Source organism: Homo sapiens, chromosome 6 (assembly GCF_000001405.40).
Source record: "Homo sapiens chromosome 6, GRCh38.p14 Primary Assembly".
Lineage (NCBI taxonomy): Eukaryota > Metazoa > Chordata > Mammalia > Primates > Hominidae > Homo > Homo sapiens.
Genome location: NC_000006.12, coordinates 24352663 through 24373501, shown reverse-complemented (window position 1 = coordinate 24373501; position 20839 = coordinate 24352663). Strand labels below are relative to the sequence as shown.

General features: G+C 38.8%; 1 protein-coding gene, 1 long non-coding RNA gene and 1 pseudogene across 3 annotated transcripts in view, besides 3 other annotated features; 1 reads left to right on the top strand and 2 right to left on the bottom strand.

The window, feature by feature from the left end:
- DCDC2 (doublecortin domain containing 2) overlaps positions 1-20839 on the top strand; it is a 211538-nt gene that overhangs the window by 9791 nt on the left and 180908 nt on the right. Inside the window, exons 2-3 of one of the 2 annotated variants that reach the window (NM_001195610.2) lie at positions 15655-16044; positions 19879-19933. In NM_001195610.2, the coding sequence (NP_001182539.1) occupies positions 15752-16044; positions 19879-19933 (348 nt within the window). In that variant the 5' untranslated portion in view covers positions 15655-15751. Of the gene's footprint in view, positions 1-15442; positions 16045-19878; positions 19934-20839 lie in introns of those variants that run through there. The other variant, NM_016356.5, reaches the window with a different exon arrangement.
- Positions 7748-7851, bottom strand: RNU6-391P (RNA, U6 small nuclear 391, pseudogene; annotated as a pseudogene).
- Positions 13130-13718: an enhancer, noted in NCBI's record as "H3K27ac-H3K4me1 hESC enhancer chr6:24360012-24360600 (GRCh37/hg19 assembly coordinates)". NCBI's record gives its function as "activates a minimal SCP1, AML or CMV promoter by ChIP-STARR-seq in naive H9 embryonic stem cells {active_cell/tissue: H9 hESC(naive)}" and the evidence as "EXISTENCE:reporter gene assay evidence [ECO:0000049][PMID:30033119]".
- Positions 13207-13296: an enhancer, noted in NCBI's record as "active region_24151". NCBI's record gives its function as "activates an Ori minimal core promoter by ATAC-STARR-seq in GM12878 lymphoblastoid cells {active_cell/tissue: GM12878}" and the evidence as "EXISTENCE:reporter gene assay evidence [ECO:0000049][PMID:35858748]".
- Positions 13437-13586: a silencer, noted in NCBI's record as "silent region_16988". NCBI's record gives its function as "represses an Ori minimal core promoter by ATAC-STARR-seq in GM12878 lymphoblastoid cells {active_cell/tissue: GM12878}" and the evidence as "EXISTENCE:reporter gene assay evidence [ECO:0000049][PMID:35858748]".
- Positions 15217-16599, bottom strand: KAAG1 (kidney associated DCDC2 antisense RNA 1). Its single transcript, NR_174942.1, has one exon. It is a non-coding gene; the product is annotated as a kidney associated DCDC2 antisense RNA 1 (long non-coding RNA).

Sequence of the window (20839 nt, the reverse complement as noted above, 5' to 3'; positions counted from 1 at the left end):
GGATTATAGTATGTGAACTCTTCTGTGTCTTGCTTAATTGGTTCAACATTGTGTTTGTAAGAGTCTTCCATGTTGACGCATGCTGCTGAGTTGATTTTCACTGCTGCATGGTATTCCATTGCATTAGTGTATCATTATTTATTAATCCGTTCTATGGTGGTGCCACATCAGGATTGTTTTTTTCCATTTATGTGAATGCTTCTACAAACATTGTTGTAGATGTCTCCTGATGCACATGTGCAGGAGTTTCCCTAGGATATGTACAAAGTAGAAGAATTGTTGGGATTGAGGGTGCACACATATTCAACTTTATAGGACATGCCAAATAATTTCCAATGTGGTTGTCCCTATTTATAGTTTCACCAGTGGTGGATGAGAGTTCCTGTTTTTCTGCATTCTTGATGAACTAGGTTTGTTATTTCTTAATTTTTGTCAATCCTGTGGCAAATATTGGAGGTTTTAGTTTGAATTTCTCTGATTTCTAATGAAGTGAACATCTTTTCATATGTTTATTGGTTATTTAGATTACTTCTTTTGTTAAGAGCCTATTCAAATGTTTTTTTCTTTTTTTTGTTTTATTTTTTTATTATACTTTAAGTTTTAGGGTACATGTGCACAACGTGCAGGTTTGTTACATATGTATACATGTGCCATGTTGGTGTGCTGCACCCATTAACTTGTCTTTTAACATTAGGTATATCTCCTAATGCTATCCCTCCCCCCTCTCCCCACCCCACGACTGGCCCCGGTGTGTGATGTTCCCCTTCCTGTGTCCAAGTGTTCTCATTGTTCAGTTCCCATCTATGAGTGAGAACATGCGGTGTTTGGTTTTTTGTCCTTGCGATAGTTTGCTGAGAATGATGGTTTCCAGCTTCATCCATGTCCCTACAAGGGACATGAACTCATCATTTTTTATGGCTGCACAGTATTCCATGGTGTATATGTGCCACATTTTCTTAATCCAGTCTGTCATTGTTGGACATTTGGGTTGGTTCTAAGTCTTTGCTATTGTGAATAGTGCCGCTATAAACATACCTGTGCATGTGTCTTTATAGCAGCATGATTTACACCTTTTTTTTTTTTGAGACGGAGACTTGCTTTCTCTCCGAGGCTGGAGTGCAGTGGCGCCATCTCGGCTCACTACAAGCTCCGCCTCCCGGGTTCACGCCATTCTCCTGCCTCAGCCTCCCGAGTAGCTGGGACTACAGACGCCCGCACCATGCCTGGCTAATTTTTTGTGTTTTTAGTAGAGAGGGGTTTCACCGTGTTAGCCAGGATGGTCTCAATCTCCTGACCTCGTGATCCACCCGCCTCGGCCTCCCAAAGTGCTGGGATTACAGGCGTGAGCCACCGCGCCCGGCCTATAATCCTTTGGGTATATACCCAGCAATGGGATGGCTGGGTCAAATGGTATTTCTAGTTCTAGATCCCTGAGGAATTGCCACACTGACTTCCACAATGGTTGAACTAGTTTATAGTCCCACCAACAGTGTAAAAGTGTTCCTATTTCTCCACATCCTCTCCAGCACCTGTTGTTTCCTTTTTAATGATCGCAATTCTAACTGGTGTGAGATGGTATCTCATTGCAGTTTTGATTTGTGTTTCTCTGATGGCCAGTGATGATGAGCATTTTTTCATGTGTCTTTTGGCTGCATAAATGTCTTCTTTTGAGAAGTGTCTGTTCATATCCTTCGCCCACTTTTTGATGGTTGTTTGTTTTTTTCTTGTAAATTTGTTTGAGTTCGTTGTAGATTCTGGATATTAGCCCTTTGTCAGATGAGTAGGTTGCGAAAATTTTCTCCCATTCTGTAGGTTGCCTGTTCACTCTGATGGTAGTATCTTTTGCTGTGCAGAAGCTCTTTAGTTTAATTAGATCCCATTTGTCAATTTTTTTTTCAGATGAGGTCTCACTCTGTCACCCAGGCCGGAGTGCAGTAGCAGTCTCAGCACACTGCAACCTCTGCCTCCCAGTCTCAAGTGAGCCTCCCACCTCAGCTTCCCAAGTAGCCTAGGCTACAGGCATGTGCCACCACACCCGGCTAATTTTTTCTGTATTTTTTTGTAGAGACAGGGTTTCACCTTGTTGCCCAGGCTGCTCTTGAATTCCTGAGCTCAAACAATCCACCTGCCTTGGCTTCCCAAAGTGCTGGGATTACAGGTGTGAGCCACGGCATCCAGCCTCCTAGTTCTTTTTTTTCTTTTCTTTTCTTTTTTTTTTTTTTTTTGAGATGGAGTGTCACACTGTCGCCCAGGCTGGAGTGCAATGGCGCGATCTCGGCTCACTGCAACCTCCGCCTCCTGGGTTCACACGATTCTCCCGCCTCAGCCTCCTGAGTAGGTGGGATTGCAGGCACACACCGCCACACCCAGCTAATTTTTTGTATTTTTAGTAGAGACAGGGTTTCACTATGTTGGCTAGACTGGTCTTGAACTCCTGACCTCAGGTGATCCACCTGCCTCGGCCTCCCATAGTGCTGGGATTACAGGCGTGTTCTTTATATATCCTCAGTAATAGTCCTTAATTGGTTGTACAGTTTGCTAATATCACCTTCCAGTTTGTAGGGTTTTTTTCCTTCTGTATTTATGGCTGACTAATATTCCATGGCATGGATTTACCGCATTTTGTGCTCTAACCATTCATCAATTGATGGACACATGAGTTGTTTCTACTTTTTGGCTATTATGAATAATGCTTCTATGAACATTCATGTATAACATATGTCAACATGTTTTTTAACATGTTATACACAGTTTTTTTGTATGCGAATCTACGTTTTTATTTTTATTTTTTTGAGACAGGGTCTCTCTTTGCCACAGGGGCTAGAGTGCAGTTGCATAAAAACAGCTTGCTACAGCCTTGATCTCCCAGGCCCGAGCAATCCTCTTGCCTCAGCCCCTCAAGTAGCTGGAACTACAGGTGCGTGCCACCACACCTGGCTAATTTTTTTGTATTTTTTGTAGGGATGGGGTTTCACAATGTTGGCCAGGCTGGTCTTGGACTCCTGACCTCAAGTGATCCTCCTGCCTTGGCCTCCCAAAGTGCTGGGATTACAGGCATGAGCCACTGTGCCTGGCCTGTATGTGAACATATGTTTTTAATTCTCTTGGGTATATGCTTAGGAATGGAATAGCTGGGTATATGATATCCTATCTCTTTTTGAGGAGTTGCCAACTGTTTCCAAAGAGGCTGCGCCATTTTACATTCCCACCAGTAATGTATGAGGGTTCAAATTTCTCCACATTCCCACCAAGACTTATTTTTTTCTTTTAAACTATTATAGCCATCCTAGTGGATGTGAAACAGTAGCCTCTATATCCATTAGTATTTGGTGTGTCCCTTGTAAACAGGACAGAGCTGGGGTTTTCCTTCCGTATGACAACCTTTTTCTTTCACTTGATGCATTTAACCCATTTATTTATTGTGATTAATGACCTAATTAGATTTTTTTTTTCTTTTTGAGACAGGGTCTTGCTCTGCCACTCAGGCTGCAGGGCAGTGGTGTGATCTCAGCTCACTGCAGCCTCCCCCAGTCCCCTGCTCAAGAGATCCTCCCACCTCAGCCTCCTGAGTAGCTGGGACCACAGGCATGCACCACCATGCCCGGCTATTTTTTTTGTAATTTTGGTAGAGACAGAGTCTTGCCACATTGCCCAGGCTAGTCTCAAACTCCTAAGCTTAAGTGATCTTCCCACCTCAGCCTCCCAAAGTGCTGGAATATAGGCATGAGCCACTGCTCCTAGCCTTAATTAGATTTTTATCACATAATTTTGTGCTTTCTTTGTGTCATGCTGTTTAAAAACTCTTTCTTTTAGATGAATACTCTTTTTCTTTATTTCATTTTCCCTGATCTATCAGTTTGGCCGTTACACTCAGTATGTCTATTTTTTTTTTTGAGACGGAGTCCCGCTCTGTCACCCAGGCTGAGTGCAGCGGCGCGATCTCGGCTCACTGCAACCTCCACCTCCCAGGTTCAAGCGATTCTCTTGCCTCAGCCTCCTGAGTAGCTGGGATTACAGGTGTGCACCACCATGCATGGCTAATTTTTTGTACTTTTAGTAAAGACGGGGTATCACCATGTTGGCCAGGCTGGTCTTGAGCTCCTGACCTCAGGTGATCTGCCTGCCTCAGCCTCTCAAAGTGCTGGGATTACAGGCATAAGCCACTGAGCCCGGGCTCAGAATGTCTATTTTTTAAAACAATGGTTACCCTATACATTTTAACATGCATACATAACAATATCACAAGTTATTATATTTATCTTACTCCACAAAAACAAACAAAAGGGGCTTATAATGCTTACATTTTGATTACTCTTTTCCCCATTTATTTCTGTTATTCTCTTTTTGGTTTTTTTTTTTTTTTTTTTTGAGACAGAGTCTTACTCTTTCTCCCAGGCTGGAGTGCAGTGGCATGATCTTGGCTCACTGCAACCTCCACCTCCCGGGTTCAAGCAATTCTCCTGCCTCAGCCTACTGAGTAGCTGGGATTACAGGCACGCGCCACTGCACCCAGCTAATTTTTGTATTTTTAGTAGAGACGGGGTTTCGCCATGTTGGCCAAGCTTGTCTTGAACTCTTGACTTCAAATGATCCGCCCGCCTCAGCCTCCCAAAATCTTGGGATTACAGCCACGCCTGGCTTACATTCTATTATTTTCTAGTATTCTAGTTCTATATGAATCATACATTCCACAATCAGACAGTGTCATTATTGTTTCCTGTAGTCATTTAAAATATTTATCACATAGTTACCAGTGTCTTCATTCACCATTCCTTCTTGCCCCTCAGACTATCATTCGTCAATTTTTTTTTTTTCTGTCTGAGCCAAGTTCTTAAAATTTCCTTTAATGAACTTCTGTTGGTGGTAAACGCTCTCATTTTGTACTCATTCTTTAGAAAGATAATTTTGCCAGGCACAAATTCCATATTGACAACTATTTTCAAAACACATTGAAGATCTTAGTCCACTGTTTTCTGGTTTGTAATGTTCCTTTTGAGAAATCAGTCATTAATTGAATTGTCTTTTCTTTGTGGGTAATACGTGTTTTCCCACTAATTTCTTTTGATTTTTTGTTATGTGCCTATTTTGTATCGCAGAATCACTACGATATCCTAAGGTGGTTATTCTTTGTTTTTTTTTCTTCTTAAGATTCATTTGACTCCCTGAATATGAATATTTGAACCTTTCAATAATTACAGAAAACTTTAGTTAATGCCTCTGCTTCATTCTCTTTGTGTCTCCTTCTGGAATTTTGATTAAAGATATAGTAAATAGTCTTACTTTAGCTCCTAACCCTTCTTTCATATTTTTCATCTATTCTCTCTCTGTCCTGTCTTCTGGATAACTTATTTGTTATTTTTTTCTTTTTTTTTAACTGAAGTCCAGAAATGAGATGCAAGGATAACTTATCTGAATATACTGTTTTAGTTTAATAATTCTCTCTTTGGATGTGACTAATCTGCTATTTAAAGTCTTCATTGAGTTTTAAATTTTAATTATGTTTTTCAATTCTAGAGATTCTGCTTCACAATTTTTTAAAAAAACCTTTGGTCATTTTAAAAGTCTTTTGTTCTTATACTTTCAATCGCTTTTTTTCTTTAAATATAGTAAACATAATTATTTTACATTCTGCCTGTGATAATTCCTGTATCTGAAATTTTTGTAGGTCTGATTCTTCTGTCTCTTGTTCCTTCAGATTCCCATTTATCATTTGTTTTCTTATAAGTTTTAGGTTTTTTTACTGTATATTCATGTTTCTTGGAACATTATATATGGAGATTATCTGTAAATTGAGTAGAAGCTGTGTTCCTCCAGAGAGAATTTGTGTTGGTTTCTGTCAGCCATCTGAGAACAATTCCAATCCAGGATCACTTTACATTTAATTCTTTGCCTCACATTTTGTAGATCACAAAGACAGAGTTAATTAGGTTCCATAACTATCTAGGGGTCAACTGATGTAATTATGAAGCATCAGGATGAAATTCTGTGATCCCTTCCTCCCACCTCGGCCTTTAGCACAAATGGGAAAATAAGCATATCTTCTTGCCGTAATTGCTCTGCAAAGAGGGCTAATTTCTTATTCACCATTACATTTATGGTCTAACTCTTTGAGGTTCCATATTTGCATGGGGAACTTCTCTCTGAATCTTCACCTTGGGAGGCCCTAGGCCTATCTCTTGTGTCTCTGTCCCTGTGTAGCCATCAAAATAACAGTTCCAGGTCACCAGGGCATGGGCAGGTATACTTAAAGCTGATTTTAGTGCTTGCTTACTTCCCAGGATTTCTGTTATTACCCAAGTTTTGGCTTTTCTGAATTCTTTTCATTCTTGCCGAATTGGCAATGCATTTAAAAAGGTTTAGACATTTAGCCAGGCATGGTGTCTCATGGCTGTAATTCCAGCACTTTGAGAGGCCAAGATGGGGGGATTGCTTGAGACCAGGAGTTCAAGACCAGCCTGGGCAACACAGAGAGACCCCCATCCCTCCACAACATTTAAAAAAATTAGCCGGTTGTAGTGGTGCACACCTGTAATCCTAGCTACTAAGGAGGCTGGGGCAGGAGGATTGCTTAAGCCTAGAAGTTGCAGTGAGCTATGATCATGCCACAACCTGGGTGACAGAGGGAGGCCCTGTTTCTAAAGAAAAAAAAAAAGATTTAGATTTTATAAAAAAAGATCCAGCATTTTGGATTGCTTTAGAAGGAGAGTGATCCAAGATATTTAGCTCACCATGTTGTCAGAAATGAAAGTCTACCAATATTCTCTTTAAAAAGCACTAAGGGCAGAAACCACATATGAGCATATATACTCCATAATGGTTTCTAATACAACACTGGACACATCACAGCAGCTGTTCAACGCTCCTCAAGGTGCATCCCTTCTTCCTGCATGTCCACACCACCCTTCATGCTCAGATTAATTCATTTAACAAACATTTATTAAACACTTAATGTTTACCATGATACTAACTGCTAGAAGACCCATGGAAGATACCTTCTTCTATAGCACAGAGAAAATAGAAGCTCTTGGTTTGAGTTTTCCCAACTTTCCTTCATCTCGGCCTCTAAACTTGCTACTTTATAGGGGTTTGCAGGTCTCATTCTAGTAAACTGAAAGTTTTTTCACTGCTATCAAATCCGTCAACATAAAATTGTATATGTTTTTCAGAGAAATAAAATTGTAACTTGGAGAAATACGGTATTTGGTTTATGTAGAATTTGAAGATAAACAACTATGGTTTTCTTCAGAATTCACTTTATGGTTTTCTTCAGGATCCACTTATGATTTTATATAAAATAAAGTTTAATGTTTCTGGTTTTAGGAGATTGTTTCTACTCATCTCACATTCTAAGTGGAAATAAAGAAAGTAGTAAATGATTACTTCTGGCTGGGAGAAGTGGCTTACACCTATAATCCAAGCACTTTGGGAGGCTGAAGCAGGATGATCACCTGAGGTCAGGAGTTTGAGACCAGCCTGGCCAACATGGTGAAAGCCCGTCTCTACTAAAAATACAAAAATTAGCCAGGCTTGGTGGCGTGCACCTGTCATCCCAGCTACTCGGGAGGCTGAGGTGGAAGAATTGCTTGAACCCAGGAGGCGGAGGTTGCAGTGAGCCGAGATCACGCCACTGCTTTCCAGCCTGGGTGACAGAGTGAGACTCTCCGTCTCAAAACAACAACAACAACAACAAAAACAACAACAACAATCTATTACTTTTTATTATTCTTTTCTTTTTTTTCTTTTGGAAAAAAATTTGGAATGCTTCATTTATTTGCATGTCATCCTTACACAGGAACTTATGCTAATCTTATCTGTATCATTCCAGTTTTAGTATATGTGCTGCTAAAGCAAGCCTTTTTATTGTTCTTAACTCGTTAGTTACATGGCAATGTATGGAACAAGCATTTTTAGGCTGGATGTGGTGGCTTACGCCTGTAATCCCAGCATTTTGGGAGGCCGAGGCAGGTGGATCACCTGAGGTCAGGAGTTTGAGACCAGCTTGGCCAACATGGTGAAACCCTGTCTCTACTAAAAATACAAAAATTAGATTGGCATGGTGCCAGGCACCTGTAATCCCAGCTACTCAGGAAGCTGAGGCAGGAGAACTGCTTGAACCCGAGAGGCAGAGGTTGCAGTAAGCCGAGATCATGCCGTTGCACTCCAACCTGGGTGACGAGCAAATCTCTGTTCCAAAACAAACAAACAAAGCTCTAAACCTAGGTGAGGCAATGAGGATGAGCAGTAGAGGAAGGATTAAGGTATGTTAGGCAAATGGAAGCTACAGGATTTGGTTCTGGATAGGAGTTAAGGATGATACCCCTTATAGTCAATATTGGCCAATGAGTTAGCCAGTTAATATAGCCAACTGGGGTAGGCCACCTAGCACGTGGATTTGAAGGAGAGGTTAGCCATTACCAGAACTAATTGAATTCACCTGACAAGAGGCTTGTCAGAGAGTCACCGTTACCCATGTGTAGGTCCAAGAAACAGTCTCAAGGCCCTCAAGTTCCTGTTCTTTTTGAGGCTAAGATGTGAAAACCAATTGTAAAGGTGACACTTTTTAAGGAAAAACTAGCAGAATATGTCTCACATTTAATACATATCTCTGTTGCCTTGAAAGGATATTAAAACTCAATACTGGCTAAGAGAGCTTGGTTTCCTGTGTAGGTGCACACCTCTGCACGTGGCTGTGCATTTTCTGTGGAAGCTAAGCAATTAGTCTTAGAATCTCTTCGGTTGTCAAGGACTGTACTTTTTTTTTTTTTGCTGATCTGAAAATATGTTTCCTTCTACAGGAGCATTTTCCAGTTTTTGAAGTTTTAGGTTAATTTTTAAACTTAATATATTTTCCTTTTGTTTATGCATTCATGAAATAATTATTTAATACTTACTATGTTCCAGCCTCTGTGCTAGGTACTAGTAAGACATTGATGAATAAAATGAACACAATCCTTTTCCTTAGGGAATTTATACATATAAACATTTAACTCTACAAAGATTAAACATGTAATTATATAAAGCTTTACAATTAAACATATAATTATATGAAGATTTGTAATTACGTAGCCAGGCATGGTGACTTGTACCTGTAGTCCTACCTACTTGGGAGGCTGAGGTGGGAGGATCACCTGAGCCTATGAGGTCAAGGCTGCAGTATGTTATGCTCATGCCTTTGAGTAACCACTGCTCTCCAGCCTGGGCAACATAGTGAGATCCCATCTTTTAAAAATAAATAAACATTTAAAAATTTATACTTATAATTGATAAAACCTATAGAGAAAAAATATGTAATATGTTGGGGGTTTATCCTGATCTGGGGAGTGGGGTAGAGAAGATTTCCTGGGGAACTGACATTTAAGTTGGAACTTGATCTATAGAGGGAGTTGGAAGGAGCCAAATAAATAGGAATGGGGGGATAAGGGGCTGTAAAGTACATCCAAAGGGATTTTAAAGGAAGCGATGGTACAAGTCTTCACTTTGGAGAGCCATAGGAAGATTTGCGTGAGAAGAGATGGAAACTAAAGCAACAAGAGTAGTATATTTATGGCTTTGTCATCAAAGTTGATGATATTGGATTTCACTGTAAGAGAAATGATAAGGATTTGAAGAATTTTAAGCTGGAAAGTGAAATGGATAGATCTGTGTTTTCAGCGACCTTTCAGGATGACTGTTCTGTGGAGAATGGATAATAGGGAAGCAAACTGGAGACAGGGTTACCTCTTAGGGGATGATGATGCCTTGAATTCAAAATGTGGAAATGGGTTTGGAGATAAGTGGATGGATTTAAAAAATATTTGAGAGATAGAATTGATAGAACTTGGTGATTAGTTGAAGAGCCCTTATAAACCTAGGGTGCAATGTGGTCTGGTTTTAGCACAGTATTACATCAAAATAAATATTGCTTAAGCAGAAATATATAATTGAAAGCATTTCAGAGATCTAGGCTCTTGAGGAAACAGCAAATGCCTTGTTGGTATTATTATTTTTCTTTTTGATTTTTTGAGACAGGGTCTTATTCTGTTACCCAGGCTGCAGTGTAACGGCATGAGCATGGCTCACTGCAGCCTCAACTTCCCAGGCTCTGATGATTCTCCCACCTCAGTCTCCTGAGTAGCTGGGACTACAGGAGCATGCCACTATGCCCTGATAATTTTTTTAGTTTTTTGTTTTTTTAGAGATGGGGTTTTGCCATGTTGGCCAGGCTGGTCTCAAACTGCTGGGCTCAAGCAATCCACCTGCCTCAGCATCTCAAAGTGCTGGGATTACAGGCTTGAGCCACCGTGCCCTGCTGGTGGTATTATTTTTAATGCACAGCAACACTTCTTTAAGAATCTTCTTTGGCCATCTCTCTCATTCTCAATGCCTTTCATATACTTAGGAAGAAGCTAAAATACAAAAACTCTCCCCTCCTTTCCTATGTGTGTTCTCAAACATTCCCTTGCATCCATCTGAAGCTCCTCATTCCTTAGCATTCCGCTCCTCATTCTACCTCAGCTCTTCGTGATCAGGGTTTATCTAACCTTTCTGGCTTCTTAAAGCCTTCTCACTTTGCTCAGTGTTCGGACTTTGCACAAGAGAGAAGAGCTCCAAAACCAATTCAGCAAGCATCTGGAGCAGGGAGAGAGATTGCAAATATCTGACTGTTTTTGTTGTTCCTCTGCCACAGTTAAATGTGTTCTGTGAAGAAGAGAAATGTATATGTTCTAGCTTTGAGCAAATGAGTAGATGAGGGTCCATTTGTGGAGACAGGAAACATAGGAAAAGTGATTTTGAGGAAAACTTGAGATCCCGTGAACGTTTCGAGTCTAGGCTGCCTTTTAGATGGTCTAGAGAAGCTGTCAGGAGAATTGTGTGCCTGGAACTGCCTTGTTCTGGCGTGTGAGGCAACTGTTAAATTCTCAGGAATTGTAAACATGGGCATTGTTAAAAAGTAATTTTATAAATATACGATTAAATAAAAAATAATTGTATAAATATACAATTAAATAAAAAATAATTGTATAAATATACAATTAAATAAAAAAATTGTATAAATATACAATTAAATAAAAAATAATTGTATAAATATACAATTAAATAAAAAATAATTGTATAAATATACAATTAAATAAAAAATAATTGTATAAACATACAATTAAATAAAAAATAATTGTATCAACATACAATTAAATAAAAAATAATTGTATCAACATACAATTAAATAAAAAATAATTGTATAAACATACAATTAAATAAAAAATAATTGTATAAATATACAATTAAATAAAAATTGTATAAATATGCAATTAAATAAAAAATAATTGTATAAATATACAATTAAATAAATTACATTGAAAACAAAGATAATAAATACTCAAAACTCATCTCCATCTACATTTTACTACTATCTGTGCTCTTAAAGTTACACAAGTCTGCTGTGCCTGCATGGTGGAAATACCATACAATGACTTGCTACTGCACATTTCATGGCTTCAGTGATGTTAGACTGGCATCTGGAAATTGGCCATATTTGGAGTAAACTACAGAGATTGGCAAATGCTATGAATTAAGGCCTTCTCTTCCCTCCTAAAAGCCAGCAGTTAAACACTTATCACCACATCATATCCAAGAGACATCTGGATAAATGAATCTAAGCTCAGGAGACACATCCGGGTTGGAGATACCGCAGTGGGAGGCATAGACTTGATGCGGGCAGCTTCATGGGCTGGCGTCAGGGTCCCCACATCAAGAAGGACCCCATGATTGGTTTAATGCTCTGCTGTTGCTAACATAAAATTCTTAATTTTTGAATAAGAGGCCACATTTTCATTTTACACTGGGCTAATATAGATGATAGGGAATTTTAGGTTGTTTGGGGAGGGGGCTACTTAATTGATTGCCTTCCATTTCCACATAACAAGTATTCTGTCTTACTCACCTATGTGGTAGCACATTTTCACAGGTATTTTCCCCATCCATCCCTCAACCTGTGCATTCTCCACAAGCAGCTCACAAAATTTCCCTTGTCTATTTCCTCCCTGTATTGTTCTCTTTGGCCTTCTTTTGAAATTTGTTAACTTTTTTTTTTTTTAACTTTCATTTTAGGTTCAGGGGTACATGTGCAGATTTGTTATATAGGTAACTCGTGTCACGGAGGTTTGTTGTACAGATTATTTCATCACCCAGGTACTAAGCCTGATACTCAACAGTTATTTTTTCTGCTCCTCTCCCTCCTCCCACGCTCCACCCTCAAGTAGGCCCCAGTATCTGTTGTTCCCTTCTTTGTGTCCGTGAGTTCTCCTCATTTAACTCCTACTTATATGTGAGAACATGCGGGTATTTGGTTTTTTGTTCCTGCGTTTGAAAACTGTTAACTTTCAAAGCATTAATGTATTACATGGCTTTAATAAAAATATTTCTTCAGAACAGAAATCTCGAAGGAAAAAAAAAGTTTCTCTCCAGATTGCAATGTCCCACACATTCATCTTTCACAGTGATATGACTGGTTATGGAGCTTGTGGAATAAGACAGAACTGGGTTTGAACTCTCTCTCTCTCTTTCGTTTTCTAATCCTTAGAATGGGTTTGAATTCCTGTGTGTGTGACCTGAGGTAAATGTCTTTGATTTCTCTACCCTTCAGTTTCCTCATCTGAGGAAAGAATAATATTTACCTCTGAAGGTTATTGTGAATATTAGATAATCTACATAAAGTGCCTTACATAATGCCTGGTCCATGGTTATAGTGTTCAATTAATGGCAGTTCTTTTTATTCGTACATGATGAGTTAGGAACACCCAGTAATTTGGACATGACACATGGTAGAAAAGTCTTAGGAGGAATGAAGGAAACACTGGCAGAGATGAGCTGCAAAATTTCAACTCTTTAAACATTTTCCTGGTGCCACAATATGTATGTCCCAGACTGGACTGGACAAAGCGACTCTTTACTGGGGCTGTTACTATTCTCACAACTCCTCTCCCTGTTATTCCTCAGACAGAGCTAACAATCTACACAAATAGCACAGATGTGGGCTCTTGGACAGCCAGTCAGACATTTAGCCTTCTTGCGGCAGTGAAAAAATCCTTTCCCTGGCGTAAAGCTTGGCACAGGGTAGGCACTCAAAATTTTGTAGGTTTTCCTTTTCACCGCCGTGGCCCCAACTAGCACAGGGCCTTGCACACAGCAGGCGTCCATTTACTGAATGAGCGCATGATGAATGAGCGCATGATCATGTCACCTGTTTCTCCCTCTTCCTCCAAACCCCTGTTCTTCCGCCTCTGCCCCACGCAGCCAGCATATCCCAAGGAGCCAGGCGCAAGCCAGGCCTGGTTCACTGACTCGCTCCCCGCGCGAGGCTGCGGTTGCTATGGAAACAGCGGGAAATAACAACTCCGTTCCCCTTGGGTGAGAGAGGCCCGCAGAGGTAACAGCAGCTGGAGGAACAGCGTGAGCGGCGCGCAGCCGCCGCAGAGTTCACCACTGTGCCACCCGAGCCGCACCGCCCCGCCCCCGCGCGGCCGGCGCCCGAGCTCCCCTCCCCTCTCCAGCACGCGAGTGTCGGTAGGTACTACGGCGGAGGGCACCTCCTGGGCCCGCCTCCCCAACCAGGGCCCCGCTTGCGCGCTGCCTGCTGTCTTCACGTGATGCGCACCCGAGCTTCGCCGCCAGGCGGCGCTGATCATCGGGGAGGGGGTTAGGGGTCCTAGACACGCGAGTCTTCGCTCTGTTTCTCATTCATTCATTCATTCACTTAAATGTTATTTTTCCCTTCCTTCCTTCCCTCCCTCCTTCCGGGATGGGGTCTTGCTGTGCTGCTCAGGTTGGTCTCAAACTCCCGGGCTCAAGTGAGCCTCCTGCCTCAGTTTCCCAAAGTGCTGGGGTTACAGGCATGAGTCACGGTACCCGGATTCTCTCTTTCTCTCTCTGAATATATATAATATATATAAAATATATATATAAAAATATATAATATATATAAAATATATAAAAAATATATATAAAATATATATAATATATAAAATATATATAATATATTATATATAAAATATATATTATATAGTATATATAAATATATATACTATATAGTATATATAAATATATATAATATATAATATATAAAATATATATAATATATAATATATAAAATATATATAATATATAATATACATAAAATATATATAATATATAATATATATAAAAATATAAAATATATAATATATATAAAAAATATAAAATATATAATATATATAAAATATAAAATATATATTATATATAATATATAAAATATATAAAATATATAAAATATATAATATATAAAATATATATAATATATAAAATATATAAAATATATATAAAATATATAAAATATATAAAATATATAATATATATAAAATATATAATATATATAATATATAATATATAAAATATATAATATATAAAAATATATGATATATAATATATATGATATATAAAATATATAATATATATAAAATATAAAATATAAAATATATAATATATAAAATATATAATATATAATATATAATGTATAAAATATATAATATATAATATATAATATATAATATATAAAATATATAATATATAATATATATAATATATAATATATTATATATATAAATATATATAATACATATATATTATATATATTATATATAATATATAAATATATATATAAATATAATATATATATTTATATATAATATATAAAATATATATTTTATATATTATATATAAAAATATATAATATATAAATAAATAAATAAAATATATATAAAATAAAATATATAAAATATATATATAAAAAAAATATATATTTTATTTTCTAAGACAGGGTCTTGCTGTGTCGCCCAGGCTGGAGTGCAGTGGCAAAATCATAGGTTACTGCAGCCTCGACCTCCTGGGCTCAAACAATCCTCCCGCCTCAGCCTCCGAGATAGCTGGGTCCACAGGCGAATACCCTGCCCACCTACTTTTTTTTTTTTTTTTTTTTTTTAATTGTAGAGACCGGGTCAGGCTGGTCTCAAACTCCTTGCCTCAGGGGATCACAGGCGCGTTATAGAGACGGGGGCTTTCCCTGTGTTTCCCAGGCTGGTCTAGAACTCCTGGTCTTAGGCAGCCCTCCCGCCTGGGCCCCTCAAAGTACTGGAATTTGCAGGCGTAAGCCACCGCATCTGGCTTTGCACATTTATCTTCCAGCAAAGAAAAACCTGGGCAACTACATCCAGGAACTTAATTGCTTTAATTTGGGAGCAAGCAGGAGATTGAGGGGTAAAGGTGCAAGAAGAGAGAAAAGAAAAATTAGGCTGTTTGGAAAGGGTAGCACAGATATGATGTAAGAAATTGGGTTTCACCATATTTGTGTGTGTGTGTGTGTGTGCGTCCTCCTCTCTCCTGCCCTCACTAGGCGTGCCTGTTTGAAGGCCCCGCGCGTTTCCGGCTCCTGCTCAGAAGCTGTCCACCTTGATTCTGCCCGTAGCAGGTGAACCTGGTGTGGTGCGCGCACTGCGGGTCCTGATTGGCTGTGCACGCCACGGTGAAAAACTTGAGCGTCTACTCCGAGTCCTGCAAGCTCCTAGTGTCTCCTCTGGGTGGACGCCTAGGCGCACGGCCGTTACTTCTCTTTCACCTGTGGATTCGTCAGTTTCTCGTTCGTTTCAGGAGGCGATCCCGCGCCCTGGGTGCGGTGAGGCCGCTGGGACAGCGGAGGTGCCTCCCGACGCGAAGCAGCGAGCTGAGGCGGCGGCCAGCGGGGAAGATGAGCGGCAGCAGCGCCAGGTCCAGCCACCTGTCTCAGCCCGTCGTGAAGAGCGTGCTTGTGTACCGCAACGGGGACCCCTTCTACGCGGGGCGCCGCGTCGTCATCCATGAGAAGAAGGTGTCCAGCTTCGAAGTCTTCCTGAAGGAGGTGACCGGCGGCGTTCAGGCACCCTTTGGGGCCGTCAGGAACATCTACACCCCGCGGACTGGCCACCGAATCCGGAAGCTAGACCAGATCCAGAGCGGGGGCAATTACGTGGCTGGAGGCCAGGAAGCCTTCAAGAAACTCAAGTGAGTCGGTCTCCCCCACCGCCCACCCATTTAGGTGCCCTATAGTGTGGGGTTGATATGAAGAAATGCAGATCCCTACCCCCCCACACCTCAGTGGTTGAGGGGCTGTGACTTCTCGGTGTGATTGATGCCCCTCAAAACTCTCGTTGCAGTTGGGGGGTAGAGGTTGACACTGTGACTGGAGAAGGAATTTCACTTGGGTCAGCAGTAGGAGTAAACTTAAAATCTGTGTATAAACAACAGGAATCTTAAAGAAAATAAAAAGGTATCCTTGCAAAGGTTAGTGACCAAACTGATACTTTTGCGTTTTCTGTTCAGTTTTTTCTTTCCTTTTCCTTATTTTTTTTCCTTGGAAATCCATCCTTTTAATTTAAATAAACATTCTTAAAAATCACTTCCAAGTGTTGGACACTATATTGTCACCAGAGGAGAAAATTGCTCTGCATTTCCCGTACTGTTTAAATTATTTCAACCTTTCATTCCAAGTAGAATTGACAACACTCACTTTTGTGACCCTGCTCCCACCCCCTGCATGTTTATGCTGTTAGCATAATGCAGGAAGAGTTTACTGGCTGACTGTATTTGTCGACTGTCTGTCTCCAGCAACGTGATTAGACCTTCAAGGGCAGGGGTCCTTATTCCCAGCTCTTGAGCTCACTCATAGTGAGTGTTCAGTGAATTAAGAAACCGTCAGTTCAGGGAACAAAGATGAGCAAGGCATGATTCCTTGTCTTTAGGAGCTTTCAGTCTAACTGGACTACCTGCACACTAACAATTTTAATGCAAGCTACAAAGGGATATGTGCATAGAAAAATAAAGTTATGTGGGAATTGTGAGTTGAGAGTTGGTTGGGGTGGTCATTATAGGACAGGTAGAATTTTACATTCCATTTTTTTTTTACAGCTTTATTGAGATAGATTTCTCATGGCATGAAGTCCAACCATTTCATTGGCTTTCAGTGTATTCAGAGTTGTGCAACCATCACCACCAACTAATTGTAGTTCATTTCCACCCCTCCCGCCAAAACATTTGTACCTCCCAGTTTCCTCTGTCCCCTGTCATCTGGAAACCACTAATCTATTTTCTGAATCTATGGATTTGTCTATTCTGGACATATCATATAAATGGAATCATACGGTATATGGTCTTTATGTCTGGCTTATTTCACTTACTGTAACATTTTCAAGGTTCATCCATGTTGTATCATACATCAATACTTCATTCTTTTTATTGTTGAATAACATTCCATGATTTGGGTATATTACCTTTTATATCCATGCTTATCCATTTATCAGTTTGATGTATATTTGGGTTGTTTCACATTTTAACTATTATGAATAATGCATCTATGAATATTTGTGTACAAGTTTTCATTTCTCTTTGGTGTATACCTAAGAGTGAAATTGCTGGATCACATGGTAACTCTGTATTCCATAGTTTAATAGAACATTTTAATTGAAATTCATCTTGGGCCCCAGGATAGAAAAAAGCCTTGACCATAAATCTAAGCTTATGAATTCATAAGCATTATTGGATTCTTAATAATTAAAATTCAAATAAAGTCTTATAACTACATAGAAATATTTTTCAAAATATCACTAAAATTCTTGAATGTAATCCTTCTTCTCCTATATTTGTTTAAATTGAGTTCTAGGTATTCTATTATACTTTTTGTTACGTCAGACATTCTTTTCATGGAAAGTGAGGGATATATTTGGATTTATTTTTCCCTCCCCTGAAGCTTCTTAAGCATGCTTTGTTAAACTTCGTAAAAAAGGGCTAAATGAAATTGCATGCTTAAAGGAAACTTAAAACCAGGAGACTGAAGACTGAGTTGCTCATCAGCTCTGTGTCCTTGGGCAAGTCGCTTGACTCAGCTAATCAGTTTCTTAATACAGAAAAGGTGCATAATCATTTGTACCACACAGGGCTGTGATAAAAAGTAAATGCTATAGATGTGTGTTTTGTAAACACCAAAGTGTTACATAAATATAAGACACCTCTATGACCAGTTCCTTTTGTTACATACTTTATTTTTTATTAAATATTTCCGTCTAAAGCAATTTCGTGGAAATGAAAGTCTGGTTCAGAATCTCTGAACGGCTGAAAATTGTAGACTCACTTTTATAGTTCATGTTCTTTTGTTTATTTGATCCTACCAACTCACAAGATTAAAAAAAAAAGGTACAGTTCCACACCAAATAAAAAAGTGTACTCAAGTCTCTCTAAGAGATTTGCATGTTATTTTTGCTTTCAGTTCATACACAAAAAACTGAATTTGTTATAACAGTGTCCATGGTTAGGTTTCCATGCTGACAGATGACTATTTTATTTGTGTTAAAGAAGTAGTATCTACGGTTATAATGATAGAAGCCAAGAATACTTGAATGTTGAATATATTTGAAACTTAGCACTTATAAGTTTATGTAAAGAATGGAGAAACTGTCAGAACAAAAGAAAGCCCAAACGATATTGAGGACAATTCGTGGGCTTTCATTTAGACCCTAAATGTTGGGAAAGACAGCAACATCTTTTTCAAATGGAACTGATCAAATCGCTGCTTGAATTGCTTTCACTTAGATTTTTCTAATATTTTTGAAACGATAACTAAACATCAGGTAGCTATTAAACCCTTATTTATTTCAAATGTGAGACCATACATTCACAACCTTTATTTTACAGCAGAGGATTCTAGAGAGTATTTCCCCCAAAACTTTCCCTGTGCATTGTTGGAAGTTGACTCTGCAGCATTAATCTTGTGGATCTGAAACCACTTTCCTGCACATGACAGAATATTTTGGTATTATTTCAAAACTCAGCCCCTGCAGGTCCACAAAAGACCCATTTTATTGCTAAGACGGAGTGTTTGCACTGTTTTAAAAATATGACTACTTTTATATAGGGGCATTGTATGACAATTTCCAGAGATATGAATTAACTAAAGTATTTTATCCAAAAAGGCAAACAGCAACAATAAAAACATTTCAATAGCCAAAATTAATTCTAACATAAGCTTTTTTTGGGACAAGTTGGCAATTGTAGTAGTTGGGGTAAAGGATTGATCTATCATTATAAATTATATGTTAGATTTATACTTTTTAATATTAAAATGTTTATTTAGCACATTTTATGTATGAAGCACAGTTTAGGGACCATTTAAAACTGGAACCACATCACAGTGATATTACACGTGAAGTTGACAAAGGTATACAGTTTTCAGGTTGTGCTTATGTAACAGCTAAAGAATGATCACTGTTAGTATCTAGAGCAAATAGTAATGGAATAATAGGGGTCTCCAGAGGTTAACTAGTCCACCCATCTGTTTCTTAGCTGAACCAATTACCAAAGTCATCCCACATGAGTGAGTGTTTTTGTATCATTAAGGTGCTCTCATAGAGACAATAATTTCTCAGCCTTTCCCAGTTGTTACCCTAATGCACGCTATCAGTACTTCCTTTGACCTAAAGCCTGTATTTAATGGAACAGTTAAGCAGCTTTGCACATAAGCCACTCTTTTAAAAAATCAAATCTGTAAGAATATAGTGTATATAGTAAGCAGCTAACTATTAAGAGGGAAAAATGTTCTCTAATAGATGTATGTATTTCTAAGACTTTCCTTCTCTTGAAGTTTAGGGTAGACATATGTCAGCTCTGGTTGGTGACACTGCAAACAGTTTTTACTATTGTAATTGCTTTTCATTAGTAGCTATTTGTTTTTGCTTTAAGGTTGAGAATTTCCTATGAGTTGCTTTATTTTTTTATGATTTTTAAAAATAAATTACTGACTTAAAGTCTATAAAAGCAACTCTTATTGTTTGTTTGTTTTTTCCTCAGTTACTTGGACATAGGAGAAATCAAGAAAAGACCAATGGAAGTTGTTAATACAGAGGTAATGCAAATATTATTTTGAAAATTCAAATAAATAACGGTGCCATTTGTTTCTTATGGTGTGTCTTAGAGATTTGGACGGCATTCTACTTTGATGAGTTCTCTAATGTAAAGAAATGGAACATTATATGTTTTAAGGCAAAGATAATTCTTTCTTTGAATCATTGTCAGAAATGAAAAGACTGAGTAGATGTTCTAAGATGTGCAGGATATGTCAAGATTAGACAAAACATATTTTTCTCTTTTCTAGCTACATGTTCTCTGATTGAAATCCATGGGAAGGTTCCCTGTCAAGTGAGAAGATTCTGAGCGTTGTTAAATAAATCTTTACCAAAGCTACATCCTCATCCTAATGTGCCTCTGATAACTCAGTGTTTGATGTAGCCAGGGTCACCCTAACTGCCCCTGAGGCTTTCAAAGGAGATGAGTAGATGTCACGTTGGACACTTTGTGATGTCAGGAAAACACCTGTGTTTTAGCTTCTATCGAAGTACGAGTTAAGCATAGTTCGTGAAAGCTTATGTGAAGGTTGGAAAAGGAGCTTGTGAAATATTCACAATACCGCATTCCACGTAGCTTCTGAAACCCTGGTGGAGTTTTAGGTATTCTGTAGGATGTATTCTTTAGTTTGTGAATGAAAAAATAGATTAAAAACAAAGTTGGGGCCACAGCCTGAGACAGGGAAAATTGTAGTTAGATCCAGAATAGGCCTCTGTTCACCAGCCCAGACAGCCACTCTTCCCATTCAGACCCCAAATAAACAAGTGCTTCCAATGGGTAAGTGCTGCCAATGAAGAAATGGCCAACAGGAAAAGTAGTTTTTCTCACTTGTAGTCCAGAGCCCCAGAGGGACTCTCCTCAACACTCACCATTTCCTCTCACATCATGTTTGTGCCTAATAGGACCA